Source organism: Homo sapiens, chromosome 1 (genome assembly GCF_000001405.40).
Source record: "Homo sapiens chromosome 1, GRCh38.p14 Primary Assembly".
Lineage (NCBI taxonomy): Eukaryota > Metazoa > Chordata > Mammalia > Primates > Hominidae > Homo > Homo sapiens.
This window is the reverse complement of record NC_000001.11, coordinates 221,549,218-221,566,136: the sequence shown is the minus strand read 5'-3', so window position 1 is coordinate 221,566,136 and position 16,919 is coordinate 221,549,218. Positions and strand designations below refer to the sequence as shown.

Here is a 16,919-nt window from a genome sequence, read left to right as displayed (position 1 = left end):
TTGTTTTAACAAATAAACTGGGAAGCCAGTCTTCTTCCTGCAAAACAATTGTAATTACAATTGGGATGTTAATGCTTGACTCTGAGCGAAGGGCATGTAGGTTAAAAGGACCAGCAAGCATATCTTTTTCTGAAGGCCGTGGGTGATCATGACCTTTACACAGCCTCAGCCCCAGCACTGGTCTCACCATTTGGACACACATACAGTAGTAGCACAAACAGGCCGTTGGCTGTTGAGCTTCCTAATGACAGGTGCAAGTGCCACGTATCACATGTGCCCTCTAAAAATAGGGCTGAGAAAGAAAGGGTCTCATACCCAGACCTCTCAGTGGCGTATAATAAAATGCTCACCCTGTGAACACTTAGTGGAATCAACACTATTTTAACATCATATTGCCTGTGTCCATACTGACAGTTGTATTGAGCTCTTTAAAAAAATCAGCTAGTTACTTGGACCAAAATGTTATTTAAGGATCTCTTAAGCAGCTTTAGTCATCAGAAATCTCCTAAAGAAAAAAAAAAAGGTGAAAAGACTGAACGTGTTTGGCAGGATGAGGTCTGGTTCTTTCCATTTTCTAAGGCAAGTTCTGCCAGGGAGCCTCTCCTCTCCTATCAGCCTTTGTTAGTTGTGACCTTTCCTTCATTTGTGAAACTTCTGCAAACATAAGTAATTTTTGCTGACTGTTTTGATAATTCTGATGAAAGAAAACACTAGACTCTCATTTCCTTCATCCCATTTTCAAGAGGAAAAAAGTACCCCAGCATCACTCAATATTCCTAACATAAGGAATCTGCACATATACCCTCTGTATCTAAAGATAAAAGCTGAAATTATTTTTTAAAGAATAAAATATTCTCTCTCTCGCTCTCTCTCTTTTTTTTTTTTTTTGTAAGAATGTTTCTATAGGAGTTGATTTGTGGGAATAAATTCTAAAGCCAGAACAACTAAACAAGGAGAAGTCATAGTTCTCCTCTAGGCTGAGGAAAGTACCTTATCTTGGTGTGTTCAAGGAGAACATGAGTTCAGAGAACTCAAAAAATGCTGATGTTGTTCATTTAGCAACGATTTAGGCTGAGCACTTGCCATATTGTTAGGCTCTGCTGCATTAGGCAGCATGGAAAGGGTCCCCCATGATCTTTAACTTAGAGTGGTGGCAAGTCCTACATAAAGGGATTATACAGGTGGTATTTTCCCTTGTACACACCCCAGATCTCCCTGCTTTGATAATCTAATTCATAACTGACATGATATTATGGCAAGCAGAATTACTTTTACTGCTAAATAATAGCATGGAAAAGAGTCACAATTAGGCAGAACGGCAGCTGGATATTTGATTATCAATTAAAAATTACAAAGGGTAGAACAGCAATATTTAAGAAAAATGCCACTAATCATTTCCAATACCTCGCGTATGTATATATGTCTTAATCTTTTAGTAGACTGGTTAGTTGCTTCTCCATCAAAGGCTGCTGCTGCTTTTTTGTTGTTGTTGTTGTTCTTTTTCTTTTCTTTTCTTTTCTTTCTTTTCTTTCTTTCTTTCTTTTTTTTTTTTTTTTTTGAAGGAATCTCGCTCTGTCTCCAGGCTGGAGGGCAGTGGCCTATCTTGGCTCACTGCAACCTTTGCCTCCTGGGTTCAAGCGATTCTCCTGCCTCAGCCTCCCTAGTAGCTGGGACTACAGGTGCGCATCACCACTCCTGGCTAATTTTTGTATTTTTAGTAGACACGGGGTTTCACCACGTTCGCCAGGATGGTCTCAATCCCTTGACTTCGTGATCCGCCCGTCTAAGCCTCCCAAAGTGCTGGGATTACAGAGGTGAGCCACCGTGCCCGGCCAAGGCTGCTTCTTTATACTGGTTTGTTTGGAGGAGAAAGTGATCTAGCTAACTGAGAAGCAAGTTGATATTAGATTGGAAGAAGCTGGAACAGTCTGGAGCAGCGTGGAAGAGATAGATTTTAGACATGAGCCACAATATAAATTACCTATGAAAACTTTCCCAATAATCGAGACCCACTTCTGCTCTACCTCATCCGAATTCTACCATATTGGTGGTATTCTGCACTGCCTTGTGATTTTGTTTTTTCTACTTGTTACATGTGTTTATGCCTGGCCTCCTCAGTTTATGAGTTTCTTAAGGGAGGACACTATATCTGTCTAAATTTTGATGATCTCTTCTTGGGTCTTTAGTAAATCCTTTTAGATTGGGCTTGGCAAGCAATTGCTGAGAAAGACAGTAATCGGCCATGCGTGCGTGGCACGCGATGTCTGAGCACGCGCACGCATTCTCGCCCTCACTGTGACACCGTGACGCTAGTCCGTCTCTTCCACGGCTGCTTCCTACCCCATGGTAGGTCAGTGACTCCTTGAGCAGAGAGCATTTATTGCCTGTGGATCTGCCTACATCCTATCTAGTCCATGACCTATGCCTCCAAACATTCCAATTCACCGTCCAAGTCACAATTAGTTCCCTGACGCGGGAGTTTCCCCCGGCCGGAAGCACAGGGACTTGGGCCCACATTCCTGGATGCCGCGATTATTACTCGGCATCTGTACAGGGAACGTGGGTGCCTGGAACATCTGGGCTGCCTTTGGACCAAAACGTCTGGGTCATGTGCCCAGCCTCCCTTTTGTGACCTTCCCAAGGGGGCAGGCCAGGTCGGCAGGGAACTGGAACTATTTTTGAGAAGGCCACTGGCAGAGGTCGCCTCATCCACTGCCCAAGTACCCCACATTCTCTGTTCTCTAGGCCAAGAGTTTGTGGAGCTATTGAAATGGGAGTAAGGGAGGAGCAAGGCCAAAGGAGAGGAGGAAGAGTACGCAAACTGGCCTGGTAGGCGTGGGGAGCCAGGGCGCCCTATTCCTGATCCTGGCACCGGCTCTGGATGTTTTCAGAGGAGCCCTTGCTGGGTCCTATGCCTTAGTTGGCTTCTGTAACATGGATTGGAACAACTTTTTTGTTTGTTTGTTTTTTGTTTTTTTGTACCTAACTCACTGGAAAGTGGGAAGACCGTTAAAAGAATATTAAATTGCACAAGTAGAAGTGCTTCCTTCGGGTACAAAATTGCTAAAAATGTATTCGATATACAGGAGACTTTCAGCTGCATGGTTCTTTATCTTAGGTTTTGGCATAGAGTATTTATGAATTATCCACTTCATTTGTGTAGTGTTAAATTAAATTAGCAGGAAGCTGTTATCTGAGGCTTTGTCTGAACTTTGAGATCCTAGGTAACAAATCACAGCCTAACAGCATGTCAAACAAATCAAAACCTAACTGGAAGTATATTTTTTTGTAACAAATAGCTGGGTTTCAGCCAATGCAAACAGCTGAGCTTCAGCCAATCACAGGCAGCCAGTGCATTGCACCAAGCCCAAATAAGGCAAATATTTGTGATTTCTAATATAGCCAATCCAGTGATTTCTGTTCTTTTCCTCTGTGTTCAGCCTATACAAGCTCGCTGCTCACACTGTCTGGGTAGAGCCCTTGAACCTCTTTTGGTTCTGAGTGATGCCTAATTCATAAACCATTCTTTGCTCAAATAAACTCTATATGAATTTATTTAATAATGTTCAAATTAATTAATTTATTAAAGTATTTCTTTTAACAATGATTATTAAAATATCTTGAATTACATTTCTATTTATCGATTAATTATACTGAAACAACAATCCTGAGAGTTAGAAAAATATATTCCTCTCCTTGTTTTATAGAAACTGAGGCATAGAAAGGTGAAGCGACCTACCCAGAAAAGATTCATGATAAGAGCAGGACCTGATCCGGGAAGAGACAGCAGTGCTTTCTCTTTGGGTTCTTTTGTTTTTTGAGGTCTTAAACCCATTTTAATTTCAGACAGTTGTCAGTTACTGCTCATAAAAACTGGCTTTCCTCTCCTCTGAGTACATGGAAGATTACATTGCCTGTTCCTTCCATCCCCATCTCCAGGCTTACTCTCAAGGTTGAGTGAGCTTTGAGAGTAGTTCTAGATAGGCCAGAGGCCATCAAGAGCAACTGCAGAATTTACTGAGTTCGCTCTGCTAGCTACCCAAGCAAGTTACTTCAGATTCTTAAGGCTCCCCATCAACCTGAGAGCAAAAAACAAACCTCTGTTTTTTTTAAAAGCCACTGAGAATTTTGAAGTTGTTAGTTGCTGAGGCATAACCTATTTTGACTAATGCAGGATCATACAAATGAATTTAAAAGTTATACACCATAATAGTATTAGAAGTTTTTAATTAGAAAGAGCCCAAGAGATACTTTTCCATGAAGGAGGTTGAGGACCAGGTTTTCTGACCTCTGCCTCTACTCAGAGTTCTTTCTACCCTCATATACTTTGAGTGCATTTTGTCCAACTAAATTCTAGCTGGACAATGTCTCTTGAAGACATTACCAGGTGGCCTTTGAGTTATCCATCTGATTATCTACTGGGATGCCTCTAGTAATAGAAAATCTGTCATACTCGGAAAACATTTTCTTTCACTTTTTTTTCAGCAATCAGTGATTAAAAAGTTATTCTTTAAGCTAAGTCAACATTTTCCTGTAATGTATATTTAATTGTCCCTATTCTTTTCTCCAGAGCCCCAGAGAACATGTGTCATTCCCTTTTTATGTAATCCTTTTGAATAATTTAAACAACATGAACTCCCTAAGTTCAACTTCTCCATGTTGAACACTCTCTGGTTCTTTCCGTCATTCCTTATGTTGAATTATTCTGAAGTCCTTTATCATTTTATCTTTCTTACCAGGACAGGTTGAGTCTTTCAATATACTATTAAAAACGTTGTACCTGGAAGTACACATAGTGTTATTGAAAGTGTGCTCTAACCCATGTAAAATAAAATGACACTGTTATGTTTGCAGAGTTCTGTTTCCATCAACCCTAAATTTAACAATAACAAAATCTATCAATTTTAGATCCAGATTCTTTCATTACCGTATTAGCTGCATTCTTAACTTGATGCCATTCACCAGTTTTAACTCCATGCTATTTCTGAACTCATTACAGTCCATAATATAAAGTTTAACTGGACACTGGTCAGATGGAGTTCTGAGAAGCACCAATGAAGACATCAGTCTGGTAATAAAGATTCTTTGGGTTTAGTCATTAAGCATTTGCATTTTCTTCCAGTTGTGTTATCATTCAGTTGCACTGCTCTATCCAATACACTATGAAATCCTTGACAAATTACAGACACATGATTACTTTATTCCCCTAACCTACCAATCTAGTGATAACCTGTCACCAAAGAACATATGGTTAACTTGTTATGCTCTGCTTTTACTAAACCCATACTTGCTACTAGTGACCACTTCTCCATTTCTAAGCATATACAACTTGTTTTAGAATCCTGCTTAGGATTACTAATGTGCTTATTGGCTTATCTATATCTTTCTCCTCTGGAAATATTATGCCATCATTTACCAAACATGTATCCTATTCTCCACATTTTCTTGAAGAAAACAGACGATGACTTGGCAGCATTATTAATATATAACCCCCTGACTATCCTGAGATGACATTTGTTACAATCAATAGTTATAAACACACTGAGAGCAGCATACTCTCTTACATTTTTAAAAAAAAATTTTGTGAATATTTATTTTATTTGTTCTTGTCTGAAAAATCATTCCCCTAACTGAAAACAGATGTGAATTAGGGGGTTAAGATTAGGAGTTTAAAATATAATGAATTAAAGTGCTTAAGGGTTCCCCATTTTAGGGGGCTTATGAATTTTCACGCAAATTTTTGTGCATATTTACTAAACTATACATTGCTTCTCTCCTGTTTTTTTATCCCTTCACCACTCAACATCTCCTCTTTCTCCCCACTTGCTTCTTGCTAAACGCTTTGCCATGTTTGGTATATATAGCTTTATCACATTTTCAAAGATATCTATGACCCTCTAACATGTTAAAGGAAAAGAGAAAATGTCTCTTATCTTTATCCCTGGTGTTTAGCAGTAGAATTCTCAGTATGTTGTGGGTTACTCAATACATTTTGGTTGACTGACTAATGTTAGTTCGCTCTTTAACGTTGTTCCCTCTTTTCCAGTAAAGGAAGCTATAGTATTCTCTTTCTTATTCATGCTCCAACTCTGTCTTAAAAAGAGTCCTTTTTCTCCCTTGAGTTCTTTTTAAGCTTTAGCTTTTCTGGCATTATGTCTGCCTGCATGTTGTACTCCTTTTTAAAGATGAAATCCATTGCTTTTATGATCTTTTTATCTTTGCGTGAGTTCACATTGATTTATCTAATTAAAATAATTCTTCCCTGTCCTCATGGGATGAACTTTATGCATAGTTAAGAACCCATGGGTGGCCTTTAATGATGTGCCACTCAGCTCTTCCTTCCAGAAAACCTGTGGCAAGGAGCATAGTGACTGACAGTGTCCTGGCTGCTATTCCTTCAGGTCCACTCCTGTGGAAATTCCCTCAGGCTGCTCCCAGGCAACGCCTGAAATGGTGAGGTTATTAGGAAAATAGTGGGGCTTCGAGAGCTAGGTCATTCTAGCCCAATGCTGGATAGGTAATTTCTCTTCAGGGATGGCCCATTGACTTGGCTGAAATTTTCTCAAAGCCACCCTATGCAGTTATCTTACTATAGTCTAGTTTGGTAACTCCACTGAGCAGGGACAATTTGTCCCTTTCTTGTTTCTCAGATATAATGAAGGGTGATTACATGGAAGAAAGGAGGTCAGAGATCCAGACCTAGCTTGTCAATTGATTCCTTACCTTTCTGGTTTTTGGCTTTCCAGGTTCTTGCTGGAGAGAATAGAGTGAACCAAGCCAGTGCCATTTCCAGTATCTGAGCCATCTCATTTTGGGAGAATCTAGGGAGTGACTGTCCTTTCTTTTGCCCTGGGATGTTACTCTCTTTTTCCTTCAGTTTTCATCAGCAAAATAGTAAAAATTGTTTCTCGAGGTGATAAAATCTACCATTCTCCCATTTCAGTATGTCTTCTTATATTCCTATCTTAGGTCAACTTGGGGAAAATGTTCAAACCTCAACAGGTGTTTTGAAAGAACCAGACATTAAGGATTTTTTTTTGTTTTTCTATAGATAGCTTTTTAAATATTTTCTTGGACGAGAAGCCAGCTTCTAGCATTGCATAAGATGGGACCAGACAGCAGATGTCAAACACCACTGCTGGTCAATGAACATAGGATTCTCTTTTCTAGGAAGATTAGTTTCCAAATGATGTGGCAAGCAGGGTCAAATAATGAAAATATAAAATAAAACAAAAAATCCAAACCACTCGCGTTTGAAAAGGCAGGTTCTTTGATTTCTCCATCTGACCACTGAAGAACTGATAGTTAAAGGGAAAGTGGTGACAAAATATAAAAGCCAATATTGGGGAAAATAGAGTTTCAGAAAGCCAAACTATTATAGAACTTTTTGCCAGGTGTGGCTGTTGTGAGGCCATTGATGTGCAAAAGACTCTAAAACGCAGGTGATCATTTTAAATCTATTTAATTGTGAAATCCAACTTCTTGTTCCATACTTACATAAATTTCTGTAATGAGTAAGCATGATGGGGCAGGTTTTGTAGTCTAATAAATCATCTTCTATAGAAGCAGAAGCTTCAATAGAAGCAGCCTTCTATCGTGCTGATGACCTGGCCTCCCTCTACAAATCTCTTATTTGTCCTGGTTTTAGGGACAAAATGCCCTTCTGGTCTTTACATATGGGTTTACAGAATAGATGCACATCTATAAATAAGCCAACTATTTTATGTAACTTCTCCCTCAACTTGCTTCTTGGAGATAAGTGGATTATAACTCTTTTTGCAGAACTTTGGATAAATACCAAGGAAGAGGGGACATTTCAAAGCATATATTTTAAGAGCTTTTCAGTTAAATAAGATAGCAAAGAAGATTTCATTTCCTCATCAAAGAAGCTGCTCCTGTATACCTAGTGTTATTATAAATCAGAATGAACACACATTGTTACCTAGAATTACACAAGCCATGTAAACATGTCAGCTATCTCTGCATTTCTGTAATGCTTCTAATATTTAGAACATTTTCATGATCTACAACTTAAGGAGCTGACTTCTCTACACTTAATTTTATTTCTGGAAAAGCAAGCATGGCTTAGATTTAGACTAATCATAAACTGAAGGCTTAAGAAGAATATAATTTTTATCTCTGTATGAGGATAGAAGAATCTACTGTATGTGTTTCTTGGGGAATTAGGGGGCGGCTACAAATGTGTTTGAATGAACTATCTCAAAAGCAATCAGAGAGCAGCACATAAGTAAGTGTGCCACAATAAGAGTAAGAAGCAAAAGTAAGGAGAGTTGGGAGCTTCGGTTCCTGGGTTTTGTCACCATCCACCGTCTTCACTCCTTTCTGTCATTTCTTTTAGCTTTTGGGTTGAATGTCAGTTATCTAGGATATCTTCCCTAACTAACCCTGCCCCATGGTGATTGCTCTCTTCCACTTCTGTTTAGGACTTATTAAAGCTTTGGTACTGGATTGTCACATACTTGTTCAATGGATATTTTTCCACCAGTTGTTTTGGCTAGTTAATGGTGGTGACTGTTTTGGAGTGGTGGTAATGATGATGTTTTTCTGATCAATGAGAATTTAGGAGAAAACAACCCCAAAACTCCTTGTGAGTAGGAACCTTGTGGCCTATTTCTCTTGCCACTCTTTTCTTTTCTCTTCATCATCCTTCATGTTTAATATTTAATAGGTATAAAACAAGGAACAGGTCACTGGGTAAACACATTACCTGCCAGGAATATGTTCCAAAATCTTTCTCTAAGTCTTTGCTACTCAATGAGTGGTCTGTGGACCAATAACATGGACATTACCTAAGGAGCTTCTTAAATCTGCAGGATCTGAGGCCCCACCCCAGGACCGAACTAAAAGTTATATTATTAGGAAATTCCTGGGTGATTCATATGCACATTACAATTGGGGAAGCACTGGTTTAAAAGACACTCATCTTTCATCTCCACTTCTAGCACCTACTTAAATATACCACTTCATTGATGATTACCCATAGTATCTTGAATTATTACACAACTTTTCATCACTGTGGGCTTTGTAAACTCATGCAGAACTTAGTGTATTTCATACACTTTATGCTGTTGTGGGCCATTCCATACTGCTTCATGTATGCTCATCTTATATCCTCAAGCTGACTGTAAGTTCCTTGAAAGCAGTTTTTATTTTTTGTGTCTCTGAATCTTGTTGGTGCTATGTCCATTGCAATACTCACTAATTATTAATAGCTAATATTTGAGAACTATGTGTTAGATATTTTATGATGTACTTCCATGCATTATCTCATTGGATACTCAAAATAACTCTGTACAGTTGTTACTGTTCTTTCTTCATAGTATAATGATAAAATAGTGCTTTAGGGAAGGTAGTATATCTTTGAGCTGGGACTCAAATCCATGTCCATTTGACTCAGGAGCCTGACCTTTTAGCCACTGTGTGGTACTGCTCACAGAATGTTGGTAAGGAAACAAAACTATGCTTCTGGAGGTGAACAAATATGTTTTGTGTTAACCTGATACATTGGAAACAAGAGCTGCTTTCTTCTGGCCTAGATGTTATCCTGATAAAAATAGCTCTGAAATAAGGAAAAGCAATCTTTCTCCTCTACCATCTCCACAGTCTTTTCCACATCCCTCTTGTCTCAAGCTTCTCTCTCTTTCTGTATGTATTAACCCTCTTCTCCCATCTTCTCTCTCTTTTCAGTGAAGACCCTCGTCCACGTCCAATCCTTGCTAGATGGTCTTATCAGTGGTCCTCCTGATGTCTCAGCCCTCTGAGGAAAGCATCTGGACCTGGCCTGGCCGAGGGGCACTGCATGAGGAGCTTTTTCAGGTCACAGGCTGTCTGGGCTTTCTCCGCCTGAGTGGATGTGTTTGCAAAGTGGATGAGTGACCTTTCATTCCTGGACACCCAGAGGGCCAATCAGTCTGTTCTTGCTCCACTGAGAAAACTGAATAAAGTGCTTGCCACTTGAAATGAGAGTAAGGCATAAATAACTATAAAAATAAGCAAGCCCCAACCCCCTCAAAGCTCAAACACAGTTGAAGCACTTTGTGTTTTAAGGCACCCTGAGTCTGGCAGATGAAGAAGCCTTTTCTCGTGTTTCCTCCTGCAATGTGAAAAATCACTTCACTGGAAAAGATCTCTGCCAGGCCAGAAAGCCTGTGCACCCCAGCCGCATGCTGCACCCCCGTCATGTTCTCTTCTCTCAGAAGTGCTGGGACCATCGTTTCCACTCGGGTGGCTGGCAGGATGCTTATGTAATCATCACCTGCCAGGAGCCACTGATATACACACTTGTCCTGGACAACCATGCTACCCTGACAGACGTGATTGTGAGGCCACAGGACAGCTTTGTCAGAATAGATCCTGTAGGAAACACAAACTCCAAAATGAGAAAGACAATGATCTTGGAGAACTCCCAATGGGAGAGGCTGTTCTTTGGGGGCTCTGCCACCCAGCAGTCCCCCCAAGTAAGCGCTAATGCTGCAGCAAAGTGTAAGCAACCACTACTTTTGCATTTAAAGGCTAGTAAGTCAGACCCTGTATATATGACCATAATAAACAATTTCTGTAATTTTGGTAACTTTGCATCAGATAATCTTCCTTAAATCTGCTTGAGAAGTAATTAGAATTAGGAATCGGGGAATCTAGATGGACCACGCAGCTCTGGAATTCACTATCTTTTCAGCCTTGGGTAGATCACTGCCTTTACCTTTCTGAGAGTTTCCATGTCCTCATATGGCAGGTTGGAGTCGTTTCACTGGCTTCTTGGGCAGCTTTAAATGCTAACATTTTTGAATTCCAGTGATTCCCAACTTCAGGCTACTGCTTCTCAAGCCCATTTTGTCCACCCCGTCCTCAGGAGAGAAAGAAAAGACTACAGTCTATAGCTTATATCACAACCTTCCTTCTGCATCTGCCTACACATACGAATTCACCAGTGACAACTAAATACATACAGTTAGCAACCTTTGCAAGCTTACTGGGCCCAAGTCAAGGTATTTATTCAAAACCTCATATAGGTCCATGTAATCGTTCATTCACATTGGGCTATATCACTCCCCTCTTGTGAATAAGGAAGGAAATTAATTTTAAAATAATAATAAAACCTTTCAGGAAGAAATTGACTTTGTACTCCAGCCACTGACCTAAGTGTTGAAATTCAATTAAATTGGAAAAGATCACAATTAAGATGCAATTTAATTATTTTTCATTTTATGTAAATGAGATTCCCGATCACAATGAATTAGAAATCTTAGTTTAAGCAGTTCATCAGTTGCCTATCTAAGTACGGTTTTGTTACTTCTTTGCTAAATTCCTAATCTCACAAGCCAAATGGAAGAAATGTTTCTGGAAATTTAAAGACTAAAATAATCATGCCACCCAACTTTTTCCAAGAATGCCTTAGGTAGATTGCTATACCAATTGTTTTCTAACTTGGAGCTAATTTTATTTCAAAGTTTACATGCAGCCAACAGAACTTCCTAAAAAAAAGACCACTCTTATTTAAATGCCTGGGAGAGTTCTAAAGTGATATAAAAGACATTTCTACATCTTATAGAAATTAATCCTTGTAGAAGTCTGCCCTCATGTAGCCCATTTTATGCTCTATGAAACATATATTTTTATCAACAACTCAAGACAAAGAAGCAGTAGTCATTATTTCTATAGAAAAAAAGATTAATTTGCAAATATCTATTGAGAATTCCATTTAGAATTAGTGAATTTATTTAAAAGCAAAATCACAAAGACCTGGTGATCTATTACTGCTGTTGCCATCAGAATGTTGGATAACAAACCACCCCAAATCTTAGTGGCTTTCAATAACAAGCCTTTATTCTCAGACTCATAGGTTTGCAGGTGTATTGTGCTTCAGCTGATGGAGGTTGAATGTGGCCAGTTAGCCCTGCTTCATGCTTCAGCCATGCTGTAGGCATGGCTCCAGGCTGGAGACTAGGTCCGGTGTGTTCCATATGTATTTATGTGTGCGGAAGCTGAAGGTGCAGTAGCCACCAGGCCATGTCCTTCTCGTGGCAAATCGCCTAAAAACACAGGTCAAAACAAACTGCATAAGCACATTTCAGGTCTCTGCTAATATTCCATTGGTCAAAGCAAGTCACACAGATGGTCCAAGATGGGTCCAAGGATGGGAAAATAAACTCTATCCTTAGTAGGAAGGGAGAGAATTTTCACTAAACAAACCTAAACTATTTTAAACATCTTTAGCTCAGATGTTTAAAAGCCCAAATATAAGAGCTTGTATATCTCTGATTCTAGTAGGACACTTTTTCTATTTTGTACTGTGTTTATTAAAAATCAGTAGTATATAATGATATTTAAGTAAAGTAACTACTTCTCCAGCAGTTTCTTTTCATTTAGGGCTTTCTTCTTAAAGCTGTTTGCTTCATTTTCTAGTGGATATGGTTAATATTTTAATAAGGAATAGGTAAGTGGAATATTTATTTCAACTCAGTGTTAGGCTTAGTTACAGATATCCCAAGATGGCTGTGAGATCTCTAATCAGCTTGGTGTCAAAAACTCTTGTACATGATTTTTCTTATCTATGAATGACTTTTTTTTTTTCATCAGGGAAGTAAGCATTTTACTCTTTTAGGATTGGAGGGATCATTTGCTGAATACACTTATTTTCTTCTCTGATTGTTCTGTTCTCTTTCCCTTTGCTCTTTGGACACCCTCCCCACAAAACATCAGCGGAAAGAAAGCTTACAATCATATATCAGCAACAGAAAAAATCAGCACAACAAGCCCGACTCCAGGCTGCATGTTTGGCTTTACCTAACTTCCTTTTTTTTGTTGTTGTTTTGAGACAGACTCTCGCTCTGTCGCCCAGGCTGGAGTGCAATGACATGATCTTGGCTCACTGCAATGTCTGCCTCCCAGGTTCAAGTGATTTTCATGCCTCAGCCTCCCTAGTAGCTGGGATTACAGGTGTGCGCCACCACGCCTGGGTAATTTTTGTATTTTTAGTAGAGACAGATTTCACCATGTTGGCCAGGATGGTCTTGATCTCTTGACCTCATGATCCGCCAGCCTCGGCCTCCCAAAGTACTGGGATTACAGGCATGAGCCACTCTCCTCGTCCTCTAACTTCCTTTGGAAGAGAAAATGTTCTTTTGCCTAATGGGAATACAGTTGTTTGCTGACTATTTCTGTTTACTAGGTCCTGTAGAGCAGTTTCTCAATCTTGGCACTAATGACATTTTGGGCCAGATAACTCTTTTTCGTCAGGGGCTATCTATGCGTTGTAGAGTGCTGTGCGGCATCCCTGGCCCCTGCTCACTACATCCAGTAACACCCTCAGTTGTGACAAGCAAACATGGCTTCAGTCATTGACAAATGCCCCTTGGGATAAAAACTGTCCCTGAACCACACTTTATTTAAGTTCAGGGGTACATGTGCAGGTTTGTTATATTGGTAAACTTGTGTCATGAGGGTTTATTGTATAGATTATTTCATCACCCAGGTATTAAGCCTAGTACCCATTAGATATTCTTCCTGATTCTCTCCCTCCACCCTCCAAAAGGCCACAGTGTGTGTTGTTCCCCTCTGTGTGTCCATGTGTTCTCATTATTTAGTTCCCACTTATAAATGAGAACATGAGGCATTTGGCTTTCTGCTCCTGCATTAGTTTGTTAAGGATAATGGCCTCCAGCTCCATCCATGTCCCTGTGAAGGACATGATCTTACTCTTTTTTTATGCTGCAGAGTATTCCATGGTGTATATGTATCATATTTTCTTTATCCAGTCTATCATTGATGGGCATTTAGGTTGATTCAATGTCTTTGCTGTTGTGAATAGTGCTGCAGTGAACACACATGGGGCACTTTCAATTAACAACAGGAACCTAACTAAACCCAACTAAAGGATATTATAATATAAATTATTTTTAACTGAAATGTATTTCTTCTCATTAAACAGTTTTGGAATATATATAAAGGATAATCCTGCCACCCAGGAGGACTCCTGAAATTGATTATTCTAAGTCATGGTCGCTCATGAGACAGTTACACCCACTCTGTGCCAGGCATGTTCTGTGTGCTTTATGTACTCAGTTAATCCTTCTAATCATATGAGCTAGCTACTATTAATATTATCATTTTACTTGTAAGAAAACTGAGACATAGAGGGGGTAGGTAACAGAGCTGAGGCCCCTCAGCAAGAAGGATTGGAGCTAGGACTAGGGCTGATGTGTTTCCGGAAGGAGGCCCTGCCCTCTGCATTCCACTGGGTCACATGTGGTGTGAGAGTTTAAGATTCTCCTTGGAACCTTTGGCACATTCTGTATACAAACAATTGCAGAGAGGAGTTGAATAAGGCTCCCTTTGGAAGGAAGCATAGTGATATTCTATCTGGTAGAATCTGCCACATCTTACCTTAATATTCCCACTTTAAGCACCAGCCTGGGACACCTGGTGCCATTTCCCAAAGGGTCACTGTGTAGGCAAAGTAAAGAGATGCCCCAAGAAAGTGATTTGAGGAATTCCAAATCCTTTGTGAACTAAAATATCTACTCCTGTCCTACCATAAGGACCGAACCTCTTACCCATTACAACTATGTGTCTTCAAGAGTACCCATGATTGGACTGGGGTAGTGGTGTGTGCTGAGGGATGGCTGCTTGCCTGGAAGATGATGAGTGTGCTGCTCTTTATGGTGGTGAGAGACAGAACTAGCTGGATTTCCTAGGCCGACTAAGAATCCCTAAGCCTAACTGGGAAGGTGACCACTTCCACCTTTAAACACGGGGCTTGCAACTTAGCTCACATCCGACCAGTCAGATAGTAAAGAGAGCTCACTAAAATGCTAATTAGGCAAAAACAGGAGGTAAAGAAATAGCCGATCATCTATTGCCTGAGAGCACAGCAGGAGGGAAAATGATCGGGATATAAACCCAGGCATTCGAGCCAGCAAAGGCTACCCCTTTTGGGTCCCCTCCCTTTGTATCGGAGCTCCGTTTTCACTCTATTAAATCTTGCAACTGCACTCTCTTTTGGTCTGTGCTTGTTACTGCTCAAGCTGAGCTTTCGCTCGCTGTCCACCACTGCTGTTTGCCGCTGTCACAGACCCGCCACTGACTTCCATCCCTCCAGATCAGGCAGGGTGTCTGCTGCGCTCCTGATCCAGTGAGTCGCCTATGCCACTCCCTATTCAGCTAAAGGCTTGCCCTTCCTGCACGGCTAAGTGCCCAGGTTCATCCTAATCAAACTGAACACTAGTCACTGGGTTCCACCGTTCTCTTCCGTGACCCGCAGCTTCTAATAGAGCTATAACACTCACCGCATGGCCCAAGATTCCATTCTTTGGAATCTGTCAGGCCAAGAACCCCAGGTCAGAGAACACGAGGCTTGCCACCATCTTGGAAGTGGCCCTCCACCATTTTGGAAGCGGCCCGCCACCATCTTGGGAGCTCTGGGAGCAAGGACCCCCGGTAACAGTGGCACAAAGCAAGCATCATCACTAGGCCCCTCCGCAACCTGGTGGTGTCCATCTGCATCATGTTCATCAACAAAAGGATCCCTAACATGAACCTGACCCTGGGGCATCTTGTGGTCACCTGGCTGCGCTTGCACATCTGTCAGAAATTGGTTATATTTGCCTCAACATGTCTGCCACCCCAAGATCCTCCTTCTGGCCTTTAGCTTCTGTGATTACAAGGTCTTCACCAACTTCTCTCTGCAGGGCAACTCCACAGGCGTCCATCAGCTGATCAAGGTCATCATTACACTGGTGATTATGGCCATGCAGACCCTCTGCTACCAGAAGGCCTTCTTCACCAGAATATAACACAACACTGATTCCTGTAACTTTAGGTGTAATCCTAAATTCTTATTACAATGTGAAATGTAATGTCCTTGGAAGGATGTTTTCTGCTCTCAGTGTTTTAGTTATACCCCCTTATCCAGTGTGGGCAGAAACCAAGCAGAATGAGTTTCAAGTAAACTCAATGCTGCTGCAGCACTATCAAGCACCAATACCTTCTGCTGTTATTGGTTGCTTCTCTGAGTCAGTGCATGGAGAGCAAGAAATATCTAGTCTCTGGTCAGCTTCTGCTTTGCCTATGGTGCAGCTATCTGAAATAATGGTTGTCATGGTGAACTTATCAATTCACTGGGTCACTAGGTACACTTCATCAGTCACCTATGACATGTTTGGGCACTTCAAGTTCTGACTTGCTTTATTTGGAGGACATGTGTTATTTAAAGATCCACTGTTAATTAACCAGAGTCTTGGCATTTTATGTAGTTATTTGGTGTAAGAATAAGAGCTTATATTCATTCTGTACTCTATAAACAGGAAGGAAGAAAATGTAAATTGCTACAAAGTACTCAACTGGGTTTTTATGATGAAAAGAAAGTCACCTCAAGAAGATACAAATCGTTAAATAAGCCAATTACTTTCAAAGAAGTAAAAAAATTGCATGTACAATTTATTGAATGGTAGTTTGCAAGATGTAATAGAAAAGATATTTTATTCTAAAATGAAATCTTCATTTTTAGCATACTTTTTGTAACTTAATCCTTTAAAACTAAAATTGTTCATGCTTCTTTTCAAATATGATTGTATAAATTATAGCCACCCCTGTACTACATTACATTCATATATTTACTTACTAACACACAGTCTTATTCTTACCTGGTGTCAGGCTCTATTCGGGACACAGAAATCAGTTAGAACCCATCCTTGGCTGGGGGTTTCCTGGCCTAGCAAGCCCAGTGTCTGAGCTTAGCATTTAAGGCCTGCTCATCTGTTCTTCCCACAGCTTGTCCTATTTTAGTTTGTTTTGAGCTTTGGCAGCCTCACAGTACAGCCTGATCACACATCTTCCACTAGGCTTTCCCTGACCCTTCTCCATCCACATAGTCCAAATCTCCACATCTCAGGATTCAGCCT

At 40.4% G+C, this 16,919-nt stretch overlaps 2 long non-coding RNA genes and 1 pseudogene across 3 annotated transcripts, besides 1 other annotated feature; 2 read left to right on the top strand and 1 right to left on the bottom strand.

Annotated features, from left to right (window-relative positions):
• The first annotated feature begins 2,483 nt into the window (after positions 1-2,483).
• Positions 2,484-10,591, top strand: LOC105372937 (uncharacterized). 2 transcript variants are annotated; one of them, XR_922624.3, is made up of 4 exons: positions 2,504-2,654; positions 2,746-2,829; positions 5,000-5,071; positions 9,709-9,795. It is a non-coding gene; the product is annotated as an uncharacterized LOC105372937 (long non-coding RNA). The 2 variants fall into 2 exon arrangements; XR_922623.3 differs by having other exon boundaries at positions 2,484-2,829; positions 9,709-10,591.
• Positions 10,293-10,793: an enhancer, noted in NCBI's record as "H3K27ac hESC enhancer chr1:221728686-221729186 (GRCh37/hg19 assembly coordinates)". NCBI's record gives its function as "activates a minimal SCP1, AML or CMV promoter by ChIP-STARR-seq in naive H9 embryonic stem cells {active_cell/tissue: H9 hESC(naive)}" and the evidence as "EXISTENCE:reporter gene assay evidence [ECO:0000049][PMID:30033119]".
• Positions 11,823-16,886, bottom strand: LOC107985462 (uncharacterized). The gene is made up of 2 exons (XR_001737823.1): positions 16,662-16,886; positions 11,823-12,050 (listed from the first exon to the last, which is right to left on the bottom strand). It is a non-coding gene; the product is annotated as an uncharacterized LOC107985462 (long non-coding RNA).
• Positions 15,477-16,176, top strand: LOC100132179 (solute carrier family 35 member E3 pseudogene; annotated as a pseudogene).
• Positions 16,887-16,919: the final 33 nt, after the last annotated feature.